This window comes from Homo sapiens, chromosome 13, assembly GCF_000001405.40.
Source record: "Homo sapiens chromosome 13, GRCh38.p14 Primary Assembly".
Lineage (NCBI taxonomy): Eukaryota > Metazoa > Chordata > Mammalia > Primates > Hominidae > Homo > Homo sapiens.
In genome coordinates this window covers 100,661,271-100,686,417 of record NC_000013.11, presented here as the reverse complement: position 1 = coordinate 100,686,417, position 25,147 = coordinate 100,661,271, and the positions used below count along the sequence as shown (strand labels likewise).

At 47.3% G+C, this 25,147-nt stretch overlaps 1 protein-coding gene across 12 annotated transcripts in view, besides 5 other annotated features; it reads left to right on the top strand.

Moving 5' to 3' along the window:
- Positions 10,953 to 11,032: an enhancer, noted in NCBI's record as "active region_7961". NCBI's record gives its function as "activates an Ori minimal core promoter by ATAC-STARR-seq in GM12878 lymphoblastoid cells {active_cell/tissue: GM12878}" and the evidence as "EXISTENCE:reporter gene assay evidence [ECO:0000049][PMID:35858748]".
- Positions 11,223 to 11,722: a silencer, noted in NCBI's record as "silent region_5480". NCBI's record gives its function as "represses an Ori minimal core promoter by ATAC-STARR-seq in GM12878 lymphoblastoid cells {active_cell/tissue: GM12878}" and the evidence as "EXISTENCE:reporter gene assay evidence [ECO:0000049][PMID:35858748]".
- Positions 11,343 to 25,147, top strand: part of TMTC4 (transmembrane O-mannosyltransferase targeting cadherins 4) — a 71,451-nt gene continuing 57,646 nt past the window's right edge. For 4 of the 12 annotated variants that reach the window (NR_146794.2, NM_001350577.2, NM_001079669.4 and 1 more), the window contains exons 1-4: positions 11,623 to 11,674; positions 17,624 to 17,839; positions 22,082 to 22,197; positions 23,238 to 23,454. Coding sequence is in view for 11 of the 12 variants with exons in the window: in NM_001350577.2 (NP_001337506.1) it covers positions 17,678 to 17,839; positions 22,082 to 22,197; positions 23,238 to 23,454 (495 nt within the window). In the remaining variant the exon portion in view is untranslated. Of the gene's footprint in view, positions 11,479 to 11,622; positions 11,675 to 15,848; positions 16,136 to 17,623; positions 17,840 to 22,081; positions 22,198 to 23,237; positions 23,455 to 25,147 lie in introns of those variants that run through there. The other 8 variants (NM_001350576.2, NM_032813.5, NM_001350571.2 and 5 more) reach the window with 5 other exon arrangements.
- Positions 11,753 to 12,112: a silencer, noted in NCBI's record as "silent region_5479". NCBI's record gives its function as "represses an Ori minimal core promoter by ATAC-STARR-seq in GM12878 lymphoblastoid cells {active_cell/tissue: GM12878}" and the evidence as "EXISTENCE:reporter gene assay evidence [ECO:0000049][PMID:35858748]".
- Positions 12,163 to 12,242: a silencer, noted in NCBI's record as "silent region_5478". NCBI's record gives its function as "represses an Ori minimal core promoter by ATAC-STARR-seq in GM12878 lymphoblastoid cells {active_cell/tissue: GM12878}" and the evidence as "EXISTENCE:reporter gene assay evidence [ECO:0000049][PMID:35858748]".
- Positions 12,358 to 13,247: an enhancer, noted in NCBI's record as "H3K27ac hESC enhancer chr13:101325425-101326314 (GRCh37/hg19 assembly coordinates)". NCBI's record gives its function as "activates a minimal SCP1, AML or CMV promoter by ChIP-STARR-seq in primed H9 embryonic stem cells {active_cell/tissue: H9 hESC(primed)}" and the evidence as "EXISTENCE:reporter gene assay evidence [ECO:0000049][PMID:30033119]".

Here is a 25,147-nt window from a genome sequence, read left to right as displayed (position 1 = left end):
CATGAGAACTCACTCATTATTATGAGAACAGCAAGGGGGAAATCCACCCTCATGATCCAATCGCCTCCCACAAGGCCCCTCTTCCAACATTGGGGATTACAATTCGACATGAGATTTGGCCGGAGACACAGATCCAAACCATATCAGATGGCCAGCAACTACCAGAAGCTGGGAGAAGGGCATGGGACAGATTGTCCCTCAGAAACTCCAGAAGGATCCAACCCTGCCTGCACCTTGATTTCAGATTTCTAGCCTCTTGAGAGAATAAATTTCTGTTGTTTTAAGCTACTCAGTCAGTTATAATTTGTTGTAACAGCTCTAGGAAACTAATACCCTGGGCTATTGTTTAACAGGCTCACCCAAGTATTATTAAAATTTTTAGGGGACTGTGACTTTGTTTTTTCTACTTATTACAGTAGGTAAGGGTACAGTCTCTGTAAAGTTACATGTTAATTTGTAGACCTTGCCCAGTGGAGATGTAAATAATTTTTGTCTAGAGAAAAAGATAACCCTAAAGGTTATTATTTTAATATCCTGTAGAGCGTTAACCAGTTTTGCTTCAAACTCAGCAGACGTACCAGAATGTGTTTTCTGGTGGAGACAGTTCTGATCCTTCTAATTCTCATTTGAATTGGTTTTACCACCTGTTCCCTCATTAGAAAGTGAAATAAAGTTCGTGATGCTTCCTCATTCTACATACAGATTAGTCATGTTTTTAGCTTTTTTGAAATTATACTTTGACAACCCAGAATCTTCACAGACCAGACATCTTTCTGAGGCGGTCTGGTTCAATGTCCCTCTGAATGGAGGAATGCATTCTTTCCTTAGTGCATTCATCAGTAGGCTTGGTCAGTCTGTGCTTGAAGATTTTACTTGATGGGGAACTTGTGATTCATTTTTTTTTTATTTCAATGGGTTTTTGGGGAACAGGTGGTGTTTGGTTACATGAATAATTTCTTTAGCAGAGATTTTGAGATTTTGGTGCACCCATCACCTGAGCAGTGTACACTGTAGTGTACACCCAAAGTGCAGTCTTTTATCCCTCATGCCCCCCTCCCAGCCTTTCCCCGAATTCCACAAAGTCCATTGTACCTCTTATTTTATTTTATTTTATTTGAGACAGAGTTTCACTCTGTCACCCAGGCTGGAGTGCAGTGGTGCAATCTCGGCCCACGGCAACCTCCACCTCCCGGGCTCAAGTGATTCTCCAGCCTTAGCCTCCCAAGTAGCTGGGATTACAGGCACCCACCACCATGCCCGGCTAATTTTTTGTGTTTTTGGCAGAGATGGGGTTTCACCATGTTGGTTAGGCTGGTCTCAAACTCCTGACCTCAAGTGATCTGCCTGCCTTGGCCTCCCAAAGTGATGAGATTACTGCCACGAGCCACCATGCCCAGCCCATTGTATCATTCTTATGCCTTTGTATCCTCATAGCTTAGCTCCCACTTATGAGTGAGAACATATCATGTTTGGTTTTCCATTCCTGAGTTACTTCACTTAGAATAATGGTCTCCAATTCCATCCAGGTTCCTGCGAATGCCATTATTTCTTTTTCTTTTTTCTTTTTTTTCTTTTTGAGATGGAGTTTCGCTCTTTTTGCCCAGGCTGGGTTGCAATGGTGCGATCTTGGCTCACTGCAACCTCTGCCTCCCGGGTTCAAGCGATTCTCCTGCCTCCGCCTCCTGAGTATCTGGGATTACAGGCACACACAGCCATGCCCGACTAATTTTGTATTTTTAGTAGAGATGGGGTTTCACCATGTTGCTCAGGCTGATCTCAAACTCCCGACCTCAGGTGATCCGCTCGCCTGGGTCTCCCAAAGTGCTGGGATTACAGGCATGAGCCACCACGCCCAGCCGAATGCCATTATTTCGTTGCTTTTTATGGCTGAGTAGTATTCCATGGTATATATATACCACATTTTTCTTTATCTACTCCTTGATGGATGGGTATTAAGGCTGGTTCCATATTTTTGCAACTGCAAATTCTGCTGCTATAAACATGCGTGTGCAAGTATCTTTTTCAAATAATGACTTCTTTTGTCTGGACAGATACCCAGGAGTGGGATGGCTGGATCAAATGGTAGATCTACTTTTAGTTCTTTAAGGAATCTCCACACTGTTTTCCATAGTGGTTGAACTAGTTTACATTCCCGCCAACAGTGTAAAAGTGTTCCCTTTTCACCACATCCACACCAACATCTAATTTTTTTTATTATGGCCATTCTTGCAGGAGTAAGGTGGTTGCACTGTGGTTTTGATTTGCATTTCCCTAATCATTAGTGATATTGAGCATTTTTTCATATGTTTGTTGGCCATTCGTATATCTTCTTTTGAGAACTGTCGATTCATGTCCTTAGCCCACTTTTTGATGGGATTATTTGTTTTGTTCTTCCTGATTTGTTTGGGGAACTCATGGTTGTTTTTATGGTAAGCTATTCTATTGCTAGACATTTATACTTAGAAAATTATTTCTCAAACTAAGGCAAAATCTCCTTCCAACTTCTACCCACTAGTTTGAATTATGCTTTCGAGAGCAGCACAGAATCTGACAGCCCTTAGGATATTTGATATTATACTCTTCTTGATTTTTTCTCCTCCAGGCTAAGTATCCTTAGATACTTGTGAGCACTAGAGTGTTCCTTACATATTTTGTCATCCTATTGAATTTGGGAACTGAATTAAATTCAACAACCCCCCTTCTTTTTTTGAGTTTCTACTGTGTTCAGTGCTGTACTCAGTACTAGAAAAGGAATCAGATGAGAAAACACTACACTTATAAAGGAATCTTTGCAAGAGCAATTAACAGATTGGAAAGACTCAGTAGCTTTATGGGACCCACTGAGGACCCAAGGGAGGGTATGACTAATTCTACCTGAGGATTTAAGCAAGGCTGGTTTACAAAGAAAGTTCTTCTTGCACTAAGTCCTGAAGGTGGGTGGGAAGTATCCAGGTGTGGGGGACATCCCAGGCAAAGGTAGAAAGACATATGACCAAAAAAAAAAAAAAAAAAAAAAGAACAAGAGAAAATTCTCAAATAATCACAAGGCATTACAGCACCCTCCAAATTCCATGAGAGCTACAAAGATATAAATGTGATTAGTGGGGAAAATAATAATTATGGAAATAAAGCCTGTCTCTAAAAATGTAGGCAGGAGGGTGGTGGTCTGCACAAAGACCATAGAATTTGAGCTAAAGAGCAAGATCTGTCAATGTTCACTCAGCCCAATCCAAGGAAAAGGGAGCATATTGGGAAGATTTATCAATTTGGAGGAGAAAAGCAAAAATTTGAAGAAACAGTAATCAAATGGGAGGAAATTTTGTGTGCCGATTTTACAATGGGATCTGGTGTCAGTTTGCCTAGTGCACATCCCAGCTCTGACTCTTGCTCTCTACGTGACCTGGAGCAAGTTACTTAATATTACCAAGATTCAACTTCCCTAGGTGTGAAATGGGTCATGATAGGCTGGGCACGGTGGCTCATGCCTGTAATCCCAGCACTTTGGGAGGCCAAGGCAGGCAGATCACAAGGTCAGGAGATCAAGACCATCCTGGCTAACATGGTGAAACCCTGTCTCTACTAAAAATACAAAAAAATAGCCAGGCGTGGTGGCACGCACCTGTAGTCCCAGCTACTCTGGAGGCTGAGGCAGGAGAATGGCGTGAACCCAGGAGGCGGAGCTTGCAGTGAGCCGAGATCGCGCCACTGCACTCCAGACTGGGCAACAGAGGGAGACTCCATCTCAAAAAAATAAAAAGGGTCATTACAGCAAACTTCAAGGGATTATTAGGTTCCTATAACATAATCAGGTTCATACACATAATGAAAGTGTGTATCATATGCCTGGCACATGCTAAGTTATAAGTGCAGAATAAATTTTATTATTATTTTCTCATTTATTTAAAATAGCAATTTAAAGTGAGGAAGCTGCATTTAGAAGAGAACAAGACCCAGGGAGGGGCTCTTACAATCAAGCTCTTAGAATCTTTTACTTCATGTGCACATTTTCCCTCTACATGACCTTCTAGGCCTTGGGATCCTCCCTGCTCTCCTGGGCTATCAACCCCATGACCCACAAGTCATGGCAGAGACCAAAGTGTCCATTCTCATGCCTGGCTCATGTGGACAACTCGTTCTCTCTAATTCTGCTCAGACAGCTAAGATTGAAAGCAGACAGGGCAAGGGATGGTGGATGGAGGTTACATTCACCTTGTTCAAGGTTTGGTTCCTTGTCTGACACAGATAAATTTTCAAATCTTCTTTCCAACGACCTTCATCTTAATCAAGGTTCCTTCATCTAAAAGGAAGAAAAGCTACTCAAGATATCTTAAGAAAAAAAGATGGAATATACTGGAAGGAAACAAAAGCATCTCCCAGAATTATGGGGCAAGAAGATCTAGGAGGCCTCACAAATGAGAGACTTTGGACCTAAGGCACCTCTCTTGGCCTCCAGCGCTGCATGGTCTCTGGGCACCATGTCTCTCTAAACATCTAATTCATCCTTGTTTCTTCCAGCAAACCCCCCGCTGCTGGAGAAAAACAGGGTTGCTCCAGCCCTAGCCTTATCGCATCTCACTGTGTACAATCTCTGCTGATTAATCTCCTTTAACATGGCTTGGTTAATTCATTCTCTCATGAGAAACTTCAGAGATTTCCTACTGCTTATAGAAAAAAGCCCAAGTTTCTTATCATGACATTGCATACCTTCTTCAATCTGGAAAGTTCAACCCTTTCCAGCCTGATTCCTCCACATAGATTCCATGTCTAGGCGGTCTGGATTTCTATAAATATGGCCATAGCTTTCCAAAATCTGACGCCTATTCGTGGCTGGAATGCTGTTCCTCACCAATCCTCTCCTATTAAAATCATACACAAGTGAAACCAAACTGATTTTCTCTTTCTGGGCCTATACTTAAATTACATTGCCCAGCCCTCTTGCATCTAGACAGCATGACTGCTTTTCTTCAATAGAAAGAGAATGGAAGCAATGTGTGTAACTTCCAGGCCAAGGCAGTTAATAGCACATGTGTCTTTTCAATCTATTCACTCCTTTCTCCCCTCCTCCCAAGGAATAATGCCAAGCAACTGTGAAGCCAGTTAAAGATGAAAGCCTGGAGCCACAACATGGGTGGAGTCTGGGTCCCAGAATGACTGTATGGAGCAGACTGTGCATGGCTAGGACATGAGAAAGAAAACTTGATCAGGCTAAGTCACTGAGAGTTAGCATTGTTCATAATAGCAGTTGAACTACTCTGATGGCACATCATACCTCGAGACTTTGCTCAAATTTTATACCTTCTTATGTCACTCCTGTAGAAAATGACCACTCTGTCATCTGAGCATTTTTCTCTAGTGCTCCATTTACAGTATTTATCATTTAGCCTTATGTCATTAAGGTTGTTTATGTGTTGTCTCTTTCTCTCTAGGTTGTACATTTTTTAAGGACAAGTGTTGAGGTGTTCCTTGCCCAGCAACCACATTTTAGTCCCTGCTAGTATACGGTGAGGGTTGTTGCTGCTGTCACTGTACATGCTGTTTCTTGATGGAATTTCTATCTGGTGAACAGGGGTGGCAAGCAAGAAGGAAACTTGAGAGTCCCCTTACATTCTCCTAGGGCTGAGGGGATCTCATGAAAGGAGTCCTCCAAGTCCAGGGAAGCTGTGTACACCTGGGAGAGCTGTGCCCTGCCCAACTCCAGAGGGCTCTATTCATGAAAATTACAGTGCACCTGTGTGCACATTTCAGAGCCCAAAGACTTCCTAGACACCAAAACATTTCAACCACCTCCAAATCTACAACCAAACTAACTGAAATTAGTTATCCCCAAAGTCTCAAATGGCTCATCTCCCAACAACAACTTTTGACATCTGCTCTTCACAAGGGAGAAGGTATGGGGAGACAAGACAATATGTACTCTCTTATTTGTTCCAGTTCTTTCCAGTCCAACATAATCTTATTAGGCAGGTGGGGGTTCTTTAACTCTCTGACTACATCCCTTGGTTTTGTGCCCAATCTTGGCTTCATTGAGTAAAGTACTGACTGCTTAACCCCGGATCTCTGTGCTTCCTTCCTCATCTGTAGGATGAGGATAATGATATGCACTTGGCAGAAGTTATGTTTTGTTTTGGTTTTGGGTTTTTTGAGACAGAGTCTTGCTGTGTCACCTAGGCTGGGGTGCAGTGGTGTGATCTTGGCTAACTTCAACTTCTGCCTCCCAGGTTTGAGCGATTCTCCTGCCTCAGCCTCCCAAGTAGTTGGGATAACAGGTGCCCGCCACCACACCCAGCTAATTTTTTTTTTTTTTTTGTATTTTTAGTAGAGATGGGGTTTCACCATGTTGGCCAGGCTGGTCTTAAACTCCTGATCTCAAGTGATCTGCCCACCTCGGCCTCCCAAAGTGCTGGGATTACAGGCTTGAGCCACTGTGCCTGGCCAGAACTTTTATGAGAATTAAATAACACAAGCATAGTGCCTGGAGCACATTGAGTGGTCCACCACCATCATGCCTTCCATGTGTGACAGCAACCCCAGAGCTCCTGTCCAAGGGGCTGGGGGTTGCTGTCACATGCAGAAGGCATGATCGGAGCAAGGGGTTGTGGTCAGTGTAGGGGAACAGGAACAGGGAAATTTTCTCTGCGTCTTATCCTTCTCACGAAACCATAAGATTGTAAGAGGTGGAATCAGTGTCATGCTTACCTTTACCTTCTCCACAGAGCCTGCCCCTGTGCTTGGCACATAGTGTTATATCATTTTGGTCATGGCTGGCTTTGCAATTTACAGAACAAAAGAACATTGGATAAAGTCAGGAGACTCTGATTCTAACTCCAGTATTGCCAATAACATGTAACGCGACTTTAAGAGTTGTGCTTCTCTGGGAGATACCTTGTTAAATGCCTGCTGTGTGGTAGGCACAGTAGCTGCAGGGGTGCAGGAGTTAACTACACAGACATGGGTCTTGCCTTCATGGCACTTACAGTCTAGTGAGATAGTTGGAGATAGACTTTACACAAATGGCCACACTGTCAGTTAATTACAGTTTTAATAAAAGCTATGAGAGTATATACAGATGGACCTACATGTGTTTGGGGAGATAATTCAGGGAAGGGTTTTCAGAGGAGATGACACTTGAGTAGTGACCTGAAGAATTAATTAGGGCAGCAAAAGGTTGCTCCCCAACCTTTTTGGCACCAGGGACCAGTTTCGTGGAAGACAATTTTTCCATGGATGGAGTTGGGGCAATGGTTTCGGGATGAAACTTCCACCTCAGATCATCAGGCATTAGTTAGATTCTTTCTCATAAGGAGCTTGCAACCTAGATCCCTCGCATGCACAGTTCACAGTAGGGTTCCCACTGCTACGAAAATCTAATGCCGTTGCTGATCTGACAGGAGGTGGAGCTCAGATGGTACTGCTCGCTTGGCAGGCTCACTTCCTGCTGTGCTGCCCGGGTTCCTAACAAGCCATAGACAGGTACCCATCCGCGGCCCTGGAGAGTTGGAGACCTCTAAATTGGAGGTAGCCAGGTGTGATGGAGGAGGATAGGAGGGAGCGCTGCAGGTGCACCTGCACAGCCCAGGATGCAAATGAGCTCAGAACACACCAGAGGATGCAAGAAGGCCAACATGGCTGGGGCCTAGGGAATGCAGGAGAGAGAGGCATGAGATGACTCAGGAGCAGCAGGCAAGCAGCCTGATCATGCTGTGGCATTGCAGATCATGAAAGATTGAGGCCTTCAATCTAAGAGTACTGGGAAGCAGGAGCCCACCAAGAGGGGCCGTGTGGGGGCAAGCCACCCTGAAGGCAGGAAATAAGGTGTGCATTGTCTATAGAGAGTTGACAATAATAAAACTGACTAGGCCAGGCGTGGTGGCTCGCACCTGTAATCCCACCATTTTACGACGTCGAGGCGGGTGGATCACCTGAGGTCAGGAGTTCGAGACCAGCCTGGCCAACCTGGTGAAACCCCGTCTCTACTAAAAATACAAAAATTAGCTGGGCATGGTGGTGGGTGCCTGTAATCCCAGCTACTCGGGAGGCTGAGGCAGGAGAATCACTTGAACCTGGGAGGTGGAGGTTGCAGTGAGCTGAGATTGCACCATTGCACTCCAGCCTGGGCAACACAGCAAGTCTCCATCTCTTTGATAAACCTGACAAAAACAAGCAATGTGGAAAGGATTCCCTATTTAATAAATGGTGCTGGGAAAACTGGCTAGCCATATGTAGAAAGCTGAAACTGGATCCCTTCCTTACACCTTATACAAAAAGTAACTCAAGATGGATTAAAGACTTAAATGTTAGACCTAAAACCATAAAAACCCTGGAAGAAAACCTAGGCAATACCATTCAGGACATAGGCATGGGCAAGGACTTCATGTCTAAAACACCAAAAGCAATGGCAACAAAAGCCAAAATTGACAAATGGGATCTAATTAAACTAAAGAGTTTCTGCACAGCAAAAGAACCTATCATCAGAGTGAACAGGCAACCTACAGAATGGGAGAAAATGTTTGCAATCTACCCATCTGGCAAAGGGCTAATATCCAGAATCTTCGAAGAACTTAATTTACAAGAAAAAAACAACCCCATCCAAAAGTGGGCAAAGGATATGAACAGACACTTCTCAAAAGAAGACATTTATGCAGCCAACAGACACATGAAAAAATGCTCATCATCACTGGCCATCAGAGAAATGCAAATCAAAACCACAATAAGATACCATCTCATGCCAGTTAGAATGGCTATCATTAAAAATTAAGGAAACAACAGATGCTGGAGAGGATGTGGAGAAACAGGAACGCTTTTATACTGTTGGTGGGAGTGTAAACTAGTTCAACCATTGTGGAAGACAGTGTGGCTATTCCTTAAGCATCCAGAACTAGAAATACCATTTGACCCAGCGATCCCATTACTGGGTATATACCCAAAGGATTATAACTCACACTACTATAAAGGCACATGCACACGTATGTTTATTGCAGCACTATTTAAAATAGCAAAGACTTGGAACCAACCCAAATGTCCATCAGCGATAGACTGGATTAATAAACTGTGGCACATATACATCATGGAATACTATGCAGCCATAAAAAAGGATGAGTTCATGTCCTTTGCAGGGACATGGATGAAGCTGCAAACCATCATTCTGAGCAAAGCATCACAAGGACAGAAAACCAAACACCACATGTTCTCACTCATAGGTGGGACTTGAACAATGAGAACACATGGACACAGGGTGGGGAACCTCACGCACCCACACCGGGGCCTGTCAGGGGGTGGGGTGCTGGGGGAGGGATAGCATTAGGAGAAATACCTAATGTAAATGACAACTTGATGGGTGCAGCAAACCAACATGGCACATACATACCTATGTAACAAACCTGCACGTTCTGCACATGTACCCTAGAACTTAAAAGTATAAAAAAAAAAACTGACTAAAATCTCATCTGCTTTTTATTTCCACCTATATATACAACCATATGTGTGTTATAAATGTTTCTGATATAAAGGATGTGTAATAAACAATACACAAGTAAAAGGCAGACACTCTTTATTGTCAGTTCTATCTACTTGACTGATTCTCACAGAAAGCTTTGCTTCTTTTTTGCCAAAGGCTTGTATCTGAATCCATCCAATGCTTGTAACTCAACCATGATGTGACTAGTGAAATTACATACCGATCCACTTTTTGCCAACAAATTTATTGTCCTTAAATCTGATATGTGATCTGTTAAACTACTTCTTACCCTTGTATAAACTCATTAAACTGCAATCTTGTTTCAGCACTAAACACATTTTTAAGTTTAATCTACATTATTAACATCTTCCCCATCACTTTCTGAAGTCTAGAGACAATCAGCAAAACAAATCGATCCCTGATTCATGATTCATAATGTTGGCTAATTTCCATGGTGTAAATACTTCGACCATGGCCCATTACAGTCTACCAACGAGACATCACTGAGTGTGGGCCGGGAAAACGCACGTGCAGTAAGCACATTATGATACGTAATACTGGAAATGGTAGGAAGTGGACAGACTTCAGAGTTATTTAGGAAGTAGAATCTTGGCGATTTGTTAGATGCCGAGGTGAAGGCAGAGTTTGGGAAACACTGGATAGTGGTGTCTTCACTATCACAGGGAGACAGGGAGTTGAAAGCAAGCAGGGAAAGGACGCATTCAGTTTTGGATGGGTTCCATTTGAGGTGCTTGTTACCAGGAGTAGCTGAATAGGAAGCTAGATAAACGGATTTGGAGCTCAGAGGAGCAAAGATTAGAGTTGCAAATTTGGGATATATTGATTTAAATGTTGACAGCAGGTTAAATCATTCAGGGAAAAATTGTGGAGTAAGAGGAAAGGTCTGAGACCTTGAAAACTCTGTTATTTGGTGGTCACCCAGAGTAGACAAGCACGCCAAGACTGGGGACAGACAGGAAAGTGGAGCACCCCCGCCACAGGAAGACGTGTTTTAAGGAGAAAGAAGGAATTTTGCTCAGATCAGTTAACACGAGAAAGGAGAGTGTCCTTTGACTTTAGTGATGTGGATGCTACTTGCGACAATTAAAAAGGCAATTTCACCGAGTGTGAAAACGAACACGTGGAGTTGAGAGACCACAAAACTGGGGGCAGGCGCCTCTTTCACCAACTTCAGCGATGGAAAGTAGAAGAGGGTGGCAGCAAGGGTACGTGGAGTAGAGAATCTTGGAATGATGAAATGCCGAGGATACGGATTCCAGTCCAGAGGGAGCAACGGATCGGATTCTGCGATACTGGAAAAACAGAAGGTGGGGGGGGGGGCTCGGTGATGGAGGGAGCAGGTGTGCAGTTTTGCCGGTGGAAAGTGGAAGTTTCTCTTTTCTCCTGAAGCAGGCGGCAAAGACCTCTGAGAGTGGGAGTGTGGTGGGTGTGCCGGGCCCCTGGATGGGAGTGGAGGTTTGGAACCAAGTGGCCCGAGCCTGCGGTGAGTGGGCCCGCCCTGGGTGGCTCTGGCCGCAGCAGGGTCGATGGGGCGGCATGGTCTCGGCGGGAAGAACACGGCTTCAGTCAGTTCTGTTCTAAGAAGCAGAAGGTGGAGATACGCATGTTTTAAACAACTCCTCCCGGACAGGAAGAAGTGGAGTTCTGGCTGTTCTGCGAGGACGCCGCAGTCCCAGCGTGGAGACCACCGCGCAGGCGAAGCGCGAGACAGGCCAGAAATAGGGTCCCGCGCGCGGACCCCGGAGGAAAAGCGAGGGCTCACTCGGTTTCCCGCAGCCAGCCTCGCCCGACCCAGCTGGGGCCGCCCCTTCCCGCCCCGGCCCCGCCTCCGCCTCAGCTCCGCGCCCACAACCCGGCTTCCTCCTCTCCCGCCGGGTCCGTCTGTCCCTGCGCCTCCTTCGCCGCCGACTAGCGCCCCCTGGCCTGACGTCACCGGCGCGTCCGCCAATGAGCTGAGGAGGGACTTGGCTGTGGCCTGAAAGTGACGGGAGCAGCAGCCAATGGTCGGGCGGAGGGGGCGGGCCGAGACTGGTGCTGGGGGGCGCCCGCGCGCGTGGGGAGCTGCGGGAGGCGCGGCGCGGGGGGGGTCGGGTGCGCGGCGGGCGGCCCCTCCCCCTGCCAGGTCCGGGCGGGTGCCTGGAGCCGCCAGAGTTTCCGCACCCGGGAGGGAGATGCGGCCGGGGCTCAGGCTCCTTGCAGGTAACGCGCGGGGCGGCCCCTGCAGGGCCGAGCGCGCCGCGGGGCGAGCGGAGTTGGACGCGGAGCGGGCGCGGGTTCCCCGCTGCCGCCGTGTCCCGAGCCCCGCACGGCGGCCCGGGCCAGAGCGGCGCTGCTGGAGGAGTTGGTTCCGGGACCTGAGCTGCGGCCCGGGCCGGGGTCACGGGGGACGCGGGCCCCTGTGTGAGCCGCACATGGGACAAAGGGCGCGGCGTGGAGGCTGCGCGCCCCGCCCGCCGCGCTCGGGCCCCTGAGCTTCTCCGCCCGGGCAGAGGTCGCCGCCCCCAGCCCCTGCCTGCACAGCCGCGCCGGCGCTCCCTCGGCCCGGGCGCACCCGGCGCCTGCGGCGCGTCCCCGGAGCGGCCATCTGGCCGCGGGGCCCCGCGCCTGGCCGCCAGCTGGCCGCGGCGCAGGCGATGGCTGGACACAGCCGGGCCGCTTGGCCGCCTGCCCTGGGTTCCGCGGCGGCTCCCCCGCCGCGCCGCGAGCGCCTGCTACTCCACGCTCGGCTGCGGAGCGGAGCGGCGCGAGCGCGGGGCCACCGGCCCGGGCGCCCGGGGCCACCGAGCCGCCGCTTCCCGGCGTGGGCTCGGAGTTTGGGGAAGCCGAGCAGGTGGCGCAGCCACTGCCCACCTCCTGCGAACTCTGCGGGGCTTCTGGTCTTGTTGATGTTGTGGCTATGGGCTGCGTGTGTGTTTTTCTTTTTTTTAAACCACACACAAAAGAAGGGAGGAGTTAGAGGAACGATCTAGCCACTATGAGTCATCCCACACTTCGCTCTTTCCCCGGGAGAGCAAATAAATGCATGGGGAGAATGTCTTGAGAAACAGTTATAGTAGGGACTGACTAGGTCCCCTCCCTGTCCCTTTTCTCTGCAGTCCTGTCTGCGCCGGGCGCGCCCCAGATGGAGTGGGGTAAAATCACGGCCAGTGCACCTAGATAGGGGAAATGGCTACAAGCTAGCAAACTGGAAACTTTCTGGGACAGTGGAACTGTGAATATCAAACCACACACATTCTTGCTATAGGCAGCCATGGCCCTCGTGCGCTACTGAATTATAAAATGGGAAGGCCGTCACAGCAGGACGATACCTTAGCCTTCAGTAGCATGTATTCAGCACTGCACGGAGGAGGGCGGTGGTGGTGGCTCGCGCCCCTGCCTTGAGGGGCCCAGGGTCTGATCAGTCAGGAAACTGCCAGGCCCAGGGATGCAGGGTCACAAACGATTGTGTTCTCTAATCTGATTCCCAGAGGCGCTGTCACCTCTCAGCGTGCATAGGATGGCTGGCTATGTGATTGAATGTTACAGATGAGGTAGAAAGGCTGGGCAGAGGTCAGCAGGCCCCTGGATGCATGGAGGGGAATATTCTTCTGTAGGTGGCTGCTGCTAATTTTTCCAAGGGGAAACATTTAGGTTTGGTCTCGCCATTCTGTTTACCGCAGTCCAGGCTGCCGTGTCAGCTGTCATTGGGCCCTCATGGTTCACAGCTGGATGACATTTGTTTTTCTGGGGTCCCTGTGTGGGGTCTTTTTGGCCTTCTCACTGATGATTAATTTGTTTTAACCTCCTGAAAACAGAGGCTCGATATGAGAAGTTTGAGAAATTGTAGGATAAAGGGACGTCTGCTTTGTTCCAGATTCAGCCCCTGTTGAGGGGCCAGTTGATTCTGTCGCAGGAGTCAGGTAGCGAGCAGAACACTGACTTCATTCCTCCTGGGTTGTGCCCTCTGCTTGGCCTGTAGCAGAGGCCACAGTGGGTCTCTCTTTTTGTTGCTTCATAAGGTGAACTAACGATCCAGCTATGGCAGAGGAGCCAGGGAGCCCAGGCAGGACATCATGTGGAGAAGAGGGACCAGAAAGTTCAACCTAGGGCCCATCTGGAAGAAAACAGAGCATCCTTTCCTATTTCATGTCCTGACTGTAAAAAATGGTGGAGGCCGGGCACGGTGGTTCACACCTGTAATCCCCATGCTTTGGAAGGCTGAGGCAGGAGGATCGCTTGAAGCCAGGAGTTTGATTCCAGCCTGGGCAACATAGTGAGACCCTGTCTCTACAAAAAAATATTTAAAATAGCCAGGCATGGTGGCATATGCCTATAGTCCCAGCTACTTGGGAGGCTGAGGTGGAAGGGTCCCTTGAGCCCAGTAAGGTGAAGCTGTGGTGAGCTATGATCATACCACTATACTCCAGCCTGGGTGGCAGAGTGAAACCCTGTTCAAAAAAAGGGGGGAAGGGATGTAGAGAGGGTGGTCCCCCGTCTCTGCCACCTTGCTCAGACAGGGCTTCTTTTAACTGAGTGCCAGGCCTGGCTCAGGTCATTGAGGAACAGAAGTCGTTTAGTGTTGGAGGAAGGAGAGTTGGGAACAAGGTCACTGTGCATGGTTGTACAGTTTGTGCCAGACACCTGACCAAGGAAGCCATGTGCCCCGGGTCTGCCCAAAAGAAGGGCCCGCCTTTCTCAGTCGCACCAGGTCACCCGATGGGCTACTGCTGGCCCTAGTGCTCAGCCCATCTGCAGGAATAAACACTGGCAACATGGGTGCGCCCGAGACAGGCAGTCAGGGACTGGGAAGCAGCGGCTAATTTCTCCAAAATCTAACAATAATGAGAACTAGTTGTTTGCATACATTTTCTCCTTTAATCCTTACCACCACCTTCTGAAGAAAGTGGTGGTGGTACTGTGTTGTGCCAGTGAGGAAATTGATTCTTAGAAAGACTAAGCAGTTCAAGGTCGTGCAGCCGGCAAGTCCAGGTTTGTCCGTCACCAGAGCCTTTGGTCTCAACCACTGGACTAGACTGATCACTTTGCCTGGCTTTCTAACAAATTGTAGCTTTTTTTTTTTTTTTTTTGCGTTTGCTAGTGAAAGGCATTTTCCAAACTGTTCCACTATGTACGTTAACAGTAAATCCCTTCAAAGAAAAGAGCATTTGTGAGTATTTTCAGTGGCAGCAAAGAAGTGGGAGGCCTTGGAGAAAGGAGAAGGAGCCCCCTGAGATAGAGAAGCAGGGGAGTCACAGCAAGGAGGGGAGAGCCAGCCAGAACTGGGAAATGATGTAGGGGCAGGGGCGTTGGAGGTAGGCCAGGTTTCCTGCTGTCCCTGCAAGAGCAGAGGAGGAGATCATCTGAGATCCACTGAGTCAGCCATCCACTTGACTTCCCAAGAGTCTGGACCTGGCCTCCTACCAGGGCATCTCGTTGATGGTGTGGTCCACAGTCTGCCTTATATATCCTGGGGCTGTGGCTTGGAACATGATTATGCTTAGAACATATTGCTTAGAACACGTTTATGTTCTAAGCAATCTGAGGTACAGTCGCTAATTTAGGAGCACAAAGTATTTCCTGATTTAGTATTCTACTTAGAAGGCCATTTGAACCTTGACAAACGTTTGTGAAATAATTTTCAAATATTTGAGCCTGAAGCAGATAATATCCAGGCTCAGTGGCACACTCCTATAGTCCCAGCTACTTGGGAGACCGAGGCAGGAGGGTTACTTGTGCCCAAAAGTTGAAGCTAGTCTGGGCAACATAGCAAGACGCCATCTCCAAAAATATATTGCATGAGCCAATAAATTCACTATTGAAACAATAAAACAGATAACGTCAAAACCGGTTACATGACCTTTTGTCAGCTCATGACTCTATTGTGCATTTAAAATTGCTATAAATTATTTGTTTTCCTTCACATTTAATTTTCTAAAATTTCTCCCCATGTTAAATCATAGTATCTTCCTAACTATTCAGTATTTGGCTTTGTTGGGCTTTGTTGTTGTTTGAGACAGGGTCTCACTCTGTTGCCCATGCTGTAGAGCCGAGGTGTGATCTCAGCTCACTGCAGCCTGGAACTCCTGGGCTCAAGCAATACTCGCACCTCTCAGTCTCCTGAGTAGCTGGGACTGCAGGCATACGCCTCCACACTCAGCTAATTTTTGTATTTTTTTTTGTAGACACGGGGTTTCACCTTGTTGCCCAGGCTGGTCTCGAACCTCTGGGCTCAAGCCATCCACCGGCCTCGGCCTCCCAAAGTGCTGGGATTACAGGCGTGAGCCATTGCAACCAGCCTTGATTTGTTGTTTTTTAAGTAGCAGGAGTAATTTCTTTAGCTGAAATGTAAGCATAGAGGTTGGGGTCTGTGTGCTAACCTGTGTTGTGTTTGCAGTTGTAATTTAGATTCGAGAAGTGGTTTATCCTTTGACTGGAAAAGAAAAGTAGCTGCAGTATTCCCCCAGCACTTGCTGAGAGCATGCCGTATGCCAGGCTGTGAGGCTCGAGAGACAAGCAGTGGAAGAGTTGCGGCCTGTTTCATCTCTGGATTGTAAATCTGAGCCTCCTTCTGGCCCCTGGAAGGGGACAGCATCACCATGGAATGGTGTGTCCCGTTGCCTGTTGGATCTGTCTCCATCTTCACTCAGACAGAAGGCTATAGAAAGATGCCTGTGACTTCAGGTGGCCTATTTGGCTGGCTTCTTATTGATTCCATAATCTGGGGTATCCACTTAGAGATCCAGAAACAAATACATCCAAACTGCCTTCCCAATCAGGGGGCTGGAATTCTCTTTCATCTCAGCAGGAAAAGAACAGGGTCCAGGTCCCTTAGTAAAGACAGGAGCCTCGGTACCAATCAACCAGCTACTAAAAGGGATTTCCCACAGAAAATCATTCTGTGCCTCTGCTTTCAGCCTTCTGGAAGAAAGTATTAGTAATAGTAGCCGGCCTCCCCTGAGCCTTCATTACAGCCAGGCAGTGCTGGGAATCCTATTTAACCCTCATGACAACTCTAGAAGGTAGGCACTCTTACCATCCCCATTTTAGTGTTGAGGAAACAGGCCCAGAGAGGTCAAGTAAGTTGCCAGAGGTACCCCAGGTCAGAACCGAGCAGTCTTACCCAAACCTGATCCTGGTAAATCCAAAGAAAGCACCTGTCCAGGATGTGGTGGGAATGGGGACAGATAAAAAAGTGCGAGTTTGGGGGTAGGTTGAGATTTGTTTTGGCGAATTCCAAGGCGGGAAGCTGTTAGGCACCGCTGACCACTGGGCGTTAAGATGCTTTGCAGAGGGCCGCAGGGGGTGGGCTCAGAGAGGAAAGGGGTTGTGCACAGGACCGCACAACTAACACATGGCAAGGATGAGGCACAGGCATCCCCGGCGAGAAACATTATGCCCATTTGAAAGAAAAGTTCAAAATAGGATATATTTTTATCTTGACTCTTTCACCAGGATTGAAGGTCATATCCTCACACAGAATAGCCTCCCTTCCTTTCCTTTGTATGGCTCAGCCTTTTCTGGGACAAGATATTGTCCCCACCAGTCATTTCCTCTATCTGTCCTCTGTGTTGAGCCAGTAGCCTAGGAACCCAGCATTCGATCCTGTGCCCCGCCTTAGGATTTCTCTGTTCGACTCCCCTGTCTCTGTGTCAGAGTCTCAGCTCCCTGGCCTGTGTGCCTGAATGCTACAAATAGACCATAAGCTCTTTCAGAAGCAGGGTTGTGTTTTACACACGACCCTCTCCCCTGCCACACACACAGTGTGCTAAAACCCAACAATGACTATTTATTAATTTTTCTGGATTGGATGAGGTAGGATGGTAACTTTTTTTTTAAGCTTTGTAAACTGGTTCAAGGACGATTAAAAATGATTTGCCTTGTGGGGTTGATGAGGATACCATTACATTCGTATTTCTAAACGATATTCTGGCATCAGAAACCAAAGGGCATCTGATTTGATAGATCCTGTGGTCGGACCCAGGAATCTGCATGTGTCCCATGTGACTTTTCTGCCCACTAAAGTTTGGGAAGCACAGCTTCAAATTGTTACTGATCACATCCTATAAAATCATAGCATAAATGACTATCTAGCTCTTACTCACGGTGCCCACTGCAGAAACGGTCCTACCAGTGTTGATGAATATTTATACAGTGTTGTTTTTCCTGCAGATTCCTAACCAGCATAATGCTGGAGCCGGGAGCCACCAACCTGCAGTTTTCAGAATGGCCGTGTTGGACACTGATTTGGATCACATTCTTCCATCTTCTGTTCTTCCTCCATTCTGGGCTAAGTTAGTAGTGGGATCGGTTGCCATTGTGTGTTTTGCACGCAGCTATGATGGAGACTTTGTCTTTGATGACTCAGAAGCTATTGTTAACAATAAGGTTTGTATCTCAACTCTTTTCTGGTAAACTTAACTGCCCAACTGTGTCTCAGTAATCATCTAAGTATGTGTTGCATTGTTCTCTGTGGAATGTAGGTTAAGCATTGGCCTGGGCCCCGATGGTGCTCTCGATTTTTCTCTCTTTTCAACATCGCCTCCATGATTTAGTGCCTTTCTTATTGCTGGCACCAAGGTTCTGAACCCCTGCCTCAGCTCAGGCACTCCCCTCAAGAGCTCCAGTCCACATATGGATCAAAGAGGCCGTTATTCTAAGATTACAAGGCAAGGGCATTGCAGGGTGTTGCAGACTTAGTATTCCAGATTTTGCAAAACATTTCCACAGTTGTTCAAAAAAAAAAAAAACCCATCACGCATTTGCTGCAGTGATGGACGGGTGTGATCACCTGCCAGAAGGTGCATCTTCAGCAGCAGGCAGGGAGCTGGCTGCCGCTTTGTCCTTCTCCGAGACTGTCGGGACAGCCTGCTGACAGCTGCTGGGGCAGGAGGAATGTGCTGCCCATGGGCGCTGCAGTTCCTGCTTGTTTCGTGTTTGGAGATTCGGTGTTGCTGAACTTGCAGAATCCCAGTCAATTTTGCTTACCAGTGGTTGCTATGTATCAGTGCAGGAAAAATGGTAATCTTTTTCCACTCCCTACCCGGAGTTAGGGCAGAAGAAAGAGGTTTGTGGGAAAAGATGAAAAAGATTCAAGCAGGCTAAAAACCAGAGCAAGAAATGCAGAGGCAGGCAAGGCCCAGAGGAGAAAGAACTCGGAAATGGCACAAGTTAGAGCCTCTCAACAATCTGTTATTCAGAAGATATTTTATGTGTGTTCCTTAGCCAGTGAAGAAGACTTAGAGGAATATACACATTTAGCTCCCTACTAGATATAATTAGAGCAACTCTTTGTAACACTGTTGAATGCTCTTAAAAATGTGAAGTTATGGATTCTACCAAATAAGTATAAAGTCATTTTCATACTGAAAATGTTGAGAAGAACTCTCTATATGACAAGCATGTATTGTATGGGGGCAACATGACTGATTTGCATATATTTTATTTGTGATATAATATTGCAGTTGATCTCCATTTTGAGGGCACACACTAGATCATTTTTAATGTTTTAATGGGTTTTCGTTGTTGTTGTTGTTTTGAGACAGAGTCTCGTTCTGTTGCCCAGGCTGGAGCACAGTGTCACGATTTTGGCTCACTACAACCTCTGCCTCCGGGGTTCAAGCAATTCTACTGCCTCAGCCTCCCAAGTAGCTGGGACTACAGGCATCACATGCCTGGCTAATTTTTGTATTTTTTAGTAGGGATGGGGTTTCACCATGTTGGCCAGGCTGGTCTTGAACTCCTGACCTCAGATGATCTGCCTACTTTGGCCTCCCAAAGTTCTGGATTACAGGTGTGAGCCACCACACCCGGCCAATATTTATTTTTAATTCAAGTTCTTCATTTGTAATTTTCCTCAGATTCACTCAGCAGTTACTGTAGATGATTCTGTTTCAGTTCTTTTTTAAACCATGCTTAAAAGAACTAAGTAACTCTACAGACCTTTTATGTCAAACTGGTGGCTTTTTCATGAGACAGGGACAAGGTGTTACTCTGTTGCCCAGGCTGGAGTGCAGTGGTGCAGTCATAGTTCACTGCAGCCTCCGATGCCTGGGCTCAAGCCATCCTCCCATCTTAGCCTCCCGAGTAGCTAAGATTACAGTCATGCGCCACCACTCCCAGCTGACTTTTAAAATTTTTTTGTAGAGACAGAGTCTCACTGTGTTGCCTGGTTGATCTCACCTGGCCTGAAGCGATGCTCCCACCTTGGCCTCCCAAAGTGCTGGGATAGCAAGCGCAAGCCACCATGCCCAGCACGGATTGGTGGCTTAATGGCCACAGAACTGCTTTTCTCAGAAAGCTACAGTTTTATTATTTAAATTCCATTATTCATTTTGGTGAGAATATCTTGACTCTTCCACTTGTGTAAAGCAGAAGACATATAAAGTGTTAATTCAGAAACCATGTTGAAAAATGTTGGTCAGCCAGGAAGAAGAAAAACACGAGCCGTGTTGTATGTGGAGGCCCCGGTGTCTGGGTGTAATTCTCGTTCCTTCTGTGAGGTGAGGCAGATGAAGCCATTTCGTGGTTCTGCTGAGCATGGTCTTGGCAGTGTTTTTGGGAGCATCACACTGTGCCCCTTTTGTTAACTTGCTAGCCCTCCCTTTTTCTTTTCCTGGTTAATGAAAGGCACTCCTCCGTTCATTGGCACTGTGCCTACAGTAATGTGAAACAGGCTGTTACTGGATTTTAGTGATGTTAGAGACTGTTTTCCAGATGCTTCCTTGCAGTGTGGAGTTGCCTTTTTTGTTCCTTGAGATGATGATCTTCTTTGAGACAGTGGAGTTAGGGGGAATTTTAGACACAATACATCTTTTCCATAAATCATTATGAGGAAGAATTGACCTTTCTTTCTGTAGCACACCCTGCTGTGGAGGCTCCACTTAATCAAATATTTAGAACCTCGTTGGTGTTCATTTCCTGTTCAAAGGGAGGAAAAGATCCTCTGCCGAAGCCCTTCACAGCTGACCGGGTACTTCTGTAAGAGTGTAGAAGAAGGTAGGCTTCCAGGCTTGTCACTGAGTCAACGAAGGGAGCAGGTGCCTCACATGACCTTCACAGAATCTCTAACCTGCTCTTGGGGAGTGGTCAGTGTGCTCCTGGCTTCTGAAGCCGATGCCCATGGAAGCAAATGTCACCCTTAACAGTGGACATCAGTGACCAGCTTTGCATCTGTCACCTCTTTTCAAGCCTTTCCCTTTGAGTCAGCAAGCACTTAAGTCGCAGGTGCTAAGTCGCATGGTGGCTGTGGACCTTTGTTGCTCTTTGGGGCCACCCATCATTTGACCCATTTCTGTTTGGGGCATTCTTAGGTGCTCAGAAGATGATTTGATTAGGGAGCTGGTACAGACGGGCTGTCCCATCAGGTGCGCCCACCTGTTGGAATCAGGAACTGGTCACGCGAGGTGGGGGCCCAGAGGCAGCCAGGCAGTCTCTGCCAGGTGCCCGGCGCATGATTTGTGGTTTTGCTCCTGCCACGTGGCCCTGCCCTGGCTTTCCAGGCCACAGGAGGGTCTGTGAGCTGCAAACTCCCCTTTGAAGAATTCCCTTTTTGTTTAAATTAATCAGAGTTTGGTTACTGCGATGAAGAATCTTGATGGACAACCCGGGGAAGTGATCAGCATGTTGTAATTTCTAGTCCCTAAAACACTCCTGTTTAATTATGCTCTAAAGAGAAAGTTAATCTGTCATTTTTCTTACTTACTCCACCACAGTGCCTTGTTTGCCTCTCTTCTCATTAGACACAATTTAAGCCATCTACTTTCATCTTTTGAATGTAAAACAATGCATTTTTAAACATCTGTAGTATAGTACCAAATTATCTCAGCAGTAAGAGCGGTACAGTGTTTTTTTTAATATTTAGTGACTTTTGTCTGGAAAAATTAAGGTTTTTTTTCTGATTTCATAGTCTGCTTAGCTCATGATCAAAAATGGAAACTTAAAAAAATATGTTTATCCATACTTAACTGGGACATTTTGGTAAGTTACCTTATTTAATAGATGTGAGAGGTTAATAGTGATCTTATTTAGCTGTGTGGTCCACTTATTTGACACGTATTAAGCACCTTCTGTATACAGCCAGCAAACCCAGATGTGGCCCAGTCCTCATGGAGCCCAGTCTAGTGGCACAGAAAAATAGTCATGTGACTGTAAGTTGCCAGGGTGCCACACATTGCTTGACAGGGTGAGATGTCCAGAGGCCTATGGAAGAGGGATGGGATCAGCTCAGGAAGGGCAGAGCCAGGCAGCTGGGAGATGAATGGCGGAAGGAGTTGAGCCATGAAGAGTTGAGGGTGACTGTCCAGGGGTGACCCGCACGTGCAGAGCCCCTGGGTTGGGAGCTGGCAGAAGCACAGCACCAGAGCTATGGGCCTGCAGAGTTCGGGGGAAGCCAGGGTCTGCAACAGCCCCTTCAGCATATCAGCTATGTCCCAGGAGGGTGAAAGCTGATCGGTGTTTGAAGCCTGGTGGGGTGAGCCCATGTGTATTTCGAGATATCAACATAGAGAACATGTTGGGCACAGCATCCCCGCTAGGAGGCCTGACTGCATCCCAGGTGAGAGATGGAGGAGCTTGGCTTAGGGCTGATGGGAGACCCTTGTCCAGAACATCCCCTTTGTGACCCTGCAGGACCTCCAAGCAGAAACGCCCCTGGGGGACCTGTGGCATCATGACTTCTGGGGCAGTAGACTGAGCAGCAACACCAGCCACAAGTCCTACCGGCCTCTCACCGTCCTGACTTTCAGGTAAGCTGTGACATTGAAGGGCCTGGGAAGGTCCCTCCCAGCTTGTGTGTGACATTGGATACAGGTGTGTGTCACCAGGTTCTCAGCATTCAGGAGTCTAGTCAGTGGCTCCAGGTGGGGTCTGAGCTGCTCATATACATGGGTCTCTAGGTGCAGAGAAGGCCAGCGTGGCCCCTGTGAAGGATGACGTGCACATTGGTGGTGTTTCATATTTTTCTCAGTTCTTGGAGGTTTGACCCTTTGCTGGTTAACACCAATGGAATAATATGAGTGAAAGCATCATGGGGCCTCTGATGAAACTGATTTTTTTCACTACAGAAATAAATAAGGTATAAATCTTCCTACTGTTACCAAGTCAATATGCAAAAGCAATATGCTGCTTAAAAACAATCCCCCCTCCGTTAATCAGGGAGCCACTTGCACTTAATAGATGCATTTACCTCACAAAGGTTCTCGTCCATACCTGCTCCTCGGGTGCATTTAAACACTTGTGAGTAGACGTCCCACAGGAGCATGGGAGTGATGAATTGGAACCACCAGCAGCTGAGAAGCAGTCAGAATAGGAATCCCTGCCAGCGGAGGGTGTTTCGTTGGGGGAAGGCTGGTGGGCATACTGATGAGGAGCCCTTTTTTGGAGGATAAGCAAGTTATAAGACTGTCTTAAATCCAGGTCCCTAGGGGGTAACCATGAGTAGTGTGTGGAATATTATATCTTCTTGGATTGCAGCCTTGCCCCTTCTGCACTTAAAACATCGTCTAGCTTTCCTTTCGATTTTCCTCTGCAAGTTGCTTCAGCGCCACTCCCCTTGGACACATATGTTTCATCCGTTTTTCCCTGTAGTTAATTACATTCCCACCTTTTCCACAACCTTCTTAGCTCGACAGGCATTATTTATCTTGATGCTGTTTTTATCAAGCTGGCACAAAGTCTTCCGCTTCTCCTTTTAATATTTCCACACACAAGCCTTCTCCTCCAGACCTTTGCCATTTCTTGCCGCATGCCGCTGCGCGTGTACCCTGAACACCCTGTGTTTCTGCAGGATTAACTACTACCTCTCGGGAGGCTTCCACCCCGTGGGCTTTCACGTGGTCAACATCCTCCTGCACAGTGGCATCTCTGTCCTCATGGTGGACGTCTTCTCGGTTCTGTTTGGCGGCCTGCAGTACACCAGTAAAGGCCGGAGGCTGCACCTCGCCCCCAGGGCGTCCCTGCTGGCCGCGCTGCTGTTTGCTGTCCATCCTGTGCACACCGAGTGTGTAAGTGTCGTCTGCCCGAGGCATCTGTATGCACGTGAGAAGCGATATGACACCCCCATGTCGCCTGGTTTCCTAAAACAGGCTCCCTTTATGTACCCATCTTGGTTCCAGAGCTGGAGAAAGTCTACTCCACAACATACTCTAGAAATAGAAAGGACACTACATAAATACTCTGCCAGACATTTGAAACAATTCTGTCTGGGGCAGAGACATCTCTTGTGAAAAAAAAATGCAGAGCACCATGTCGGTGGGGACTGCGTGATAAGGTGTGGTGTGATCTCTGGTGACACTTTCTGTTTAGCTTCTAGCATAACACCAGCTGTGAAGGCACGGATGTTAAATATTGTTGGACTTCGGGGTCTAAAGTTCAGAGGCTAAGAACTGTTCTTCAGTGGAGGGTCTGATGCAGTGTTTCTGTGTTCGCTGACAGCTTTGTGATTTATAAAATCCTTTCTTAGACTTAACATGCTTGTTATGAAAACGCTGTGACATCAGCGGGGCTAGTACAACAGTTCCACTTTAGGGATGAGGGAATGGCCTGGCAGGATAAAAATTTATCCAGGGTGAGGAGCAAGTGGATGTCGGGCAGGACTTAAATTCTGGGCTTCCCAGGCCTCCACTGAGGAGATGCTGATGTACTTGGTATTGAACTGGAAAGCGGTGCCTGCACTCTGCTGGGGAGCTGCTGGTGAAGTCTCTCCACCCTCCTCCACCTCACCCTGATCACCTGGGGGAGAGGATCACACAGGGTGAGGTGGAGGAGGGTGGAGAGACTTCACCAGCAGCTCCCCAGCAGGGTACGGGCACCGCTTTCCAGTTCAACACCAAATACATCAGCATATCCTCAGTGGAGGCCTGGAGGCTGCATCTCCATCCCATCGCGCTGCCTCTGTGTGTTTGGAATAGGCTGTGCTGGGATTTCACTAGGCATTTGTGAAGTTGTCAGGAACCGCCCCCTGCACCACCATGTGGACCCTTTGAAAATGCAAAAGGCAGCATGTTTGCTGAGGGACAAGATTTGACTGGAGTCATTCATTCTGTGAGCACGAAGTGCCTAAAATAATCACATACACTTTATTACTTCCCTCACAGTAGACTTCTCGTTTCTTAGGGATTGAAATATCTACATTTAACCAATTGCATGTTGCTTCTTGAAGTTTCAAGATGCTGAGCAGACGTCCTGTTTTTAGCATCTGACTTTAGTAAATTGTCTATTCTTCAGTATCAAGAGTGTTGTGGAGTTGTTATCACACCCTCCTCCTGATATCTTTTTAAATCTTTGTTTTTTACCTCAGCAAATTCAGAGAACATTAAGGGCTGAATAGGCTGGGGACTGCTGTGTAAAAATTTAGTTATAAGCTCTTTATATATAACTGTGACCGAATTAGACTTTGTTTCGATCTGAGTTCTCTCTGGGACCCAGATATAGTGCAGCCATTGATCCTGAATAAGGGACTGGAAGAGAGGGATTCACTGGAGAAGTACTGATTCTGTCTTCCTTCTCGTCTAATTTAGCGTGATCTTAAAAGCAAAATGAAATACTTGAATTATTAGCCAAGGAAAGTTTTCTAAAATTCTCATTTTAAATATTCAGAAGTTGATTTATAAAAAGGTTTCAAGTGCCAACAGGTATAACTGAATGTGCTTACACACACGTACACACTCACACGCACACATTCTCTCTCACACACAC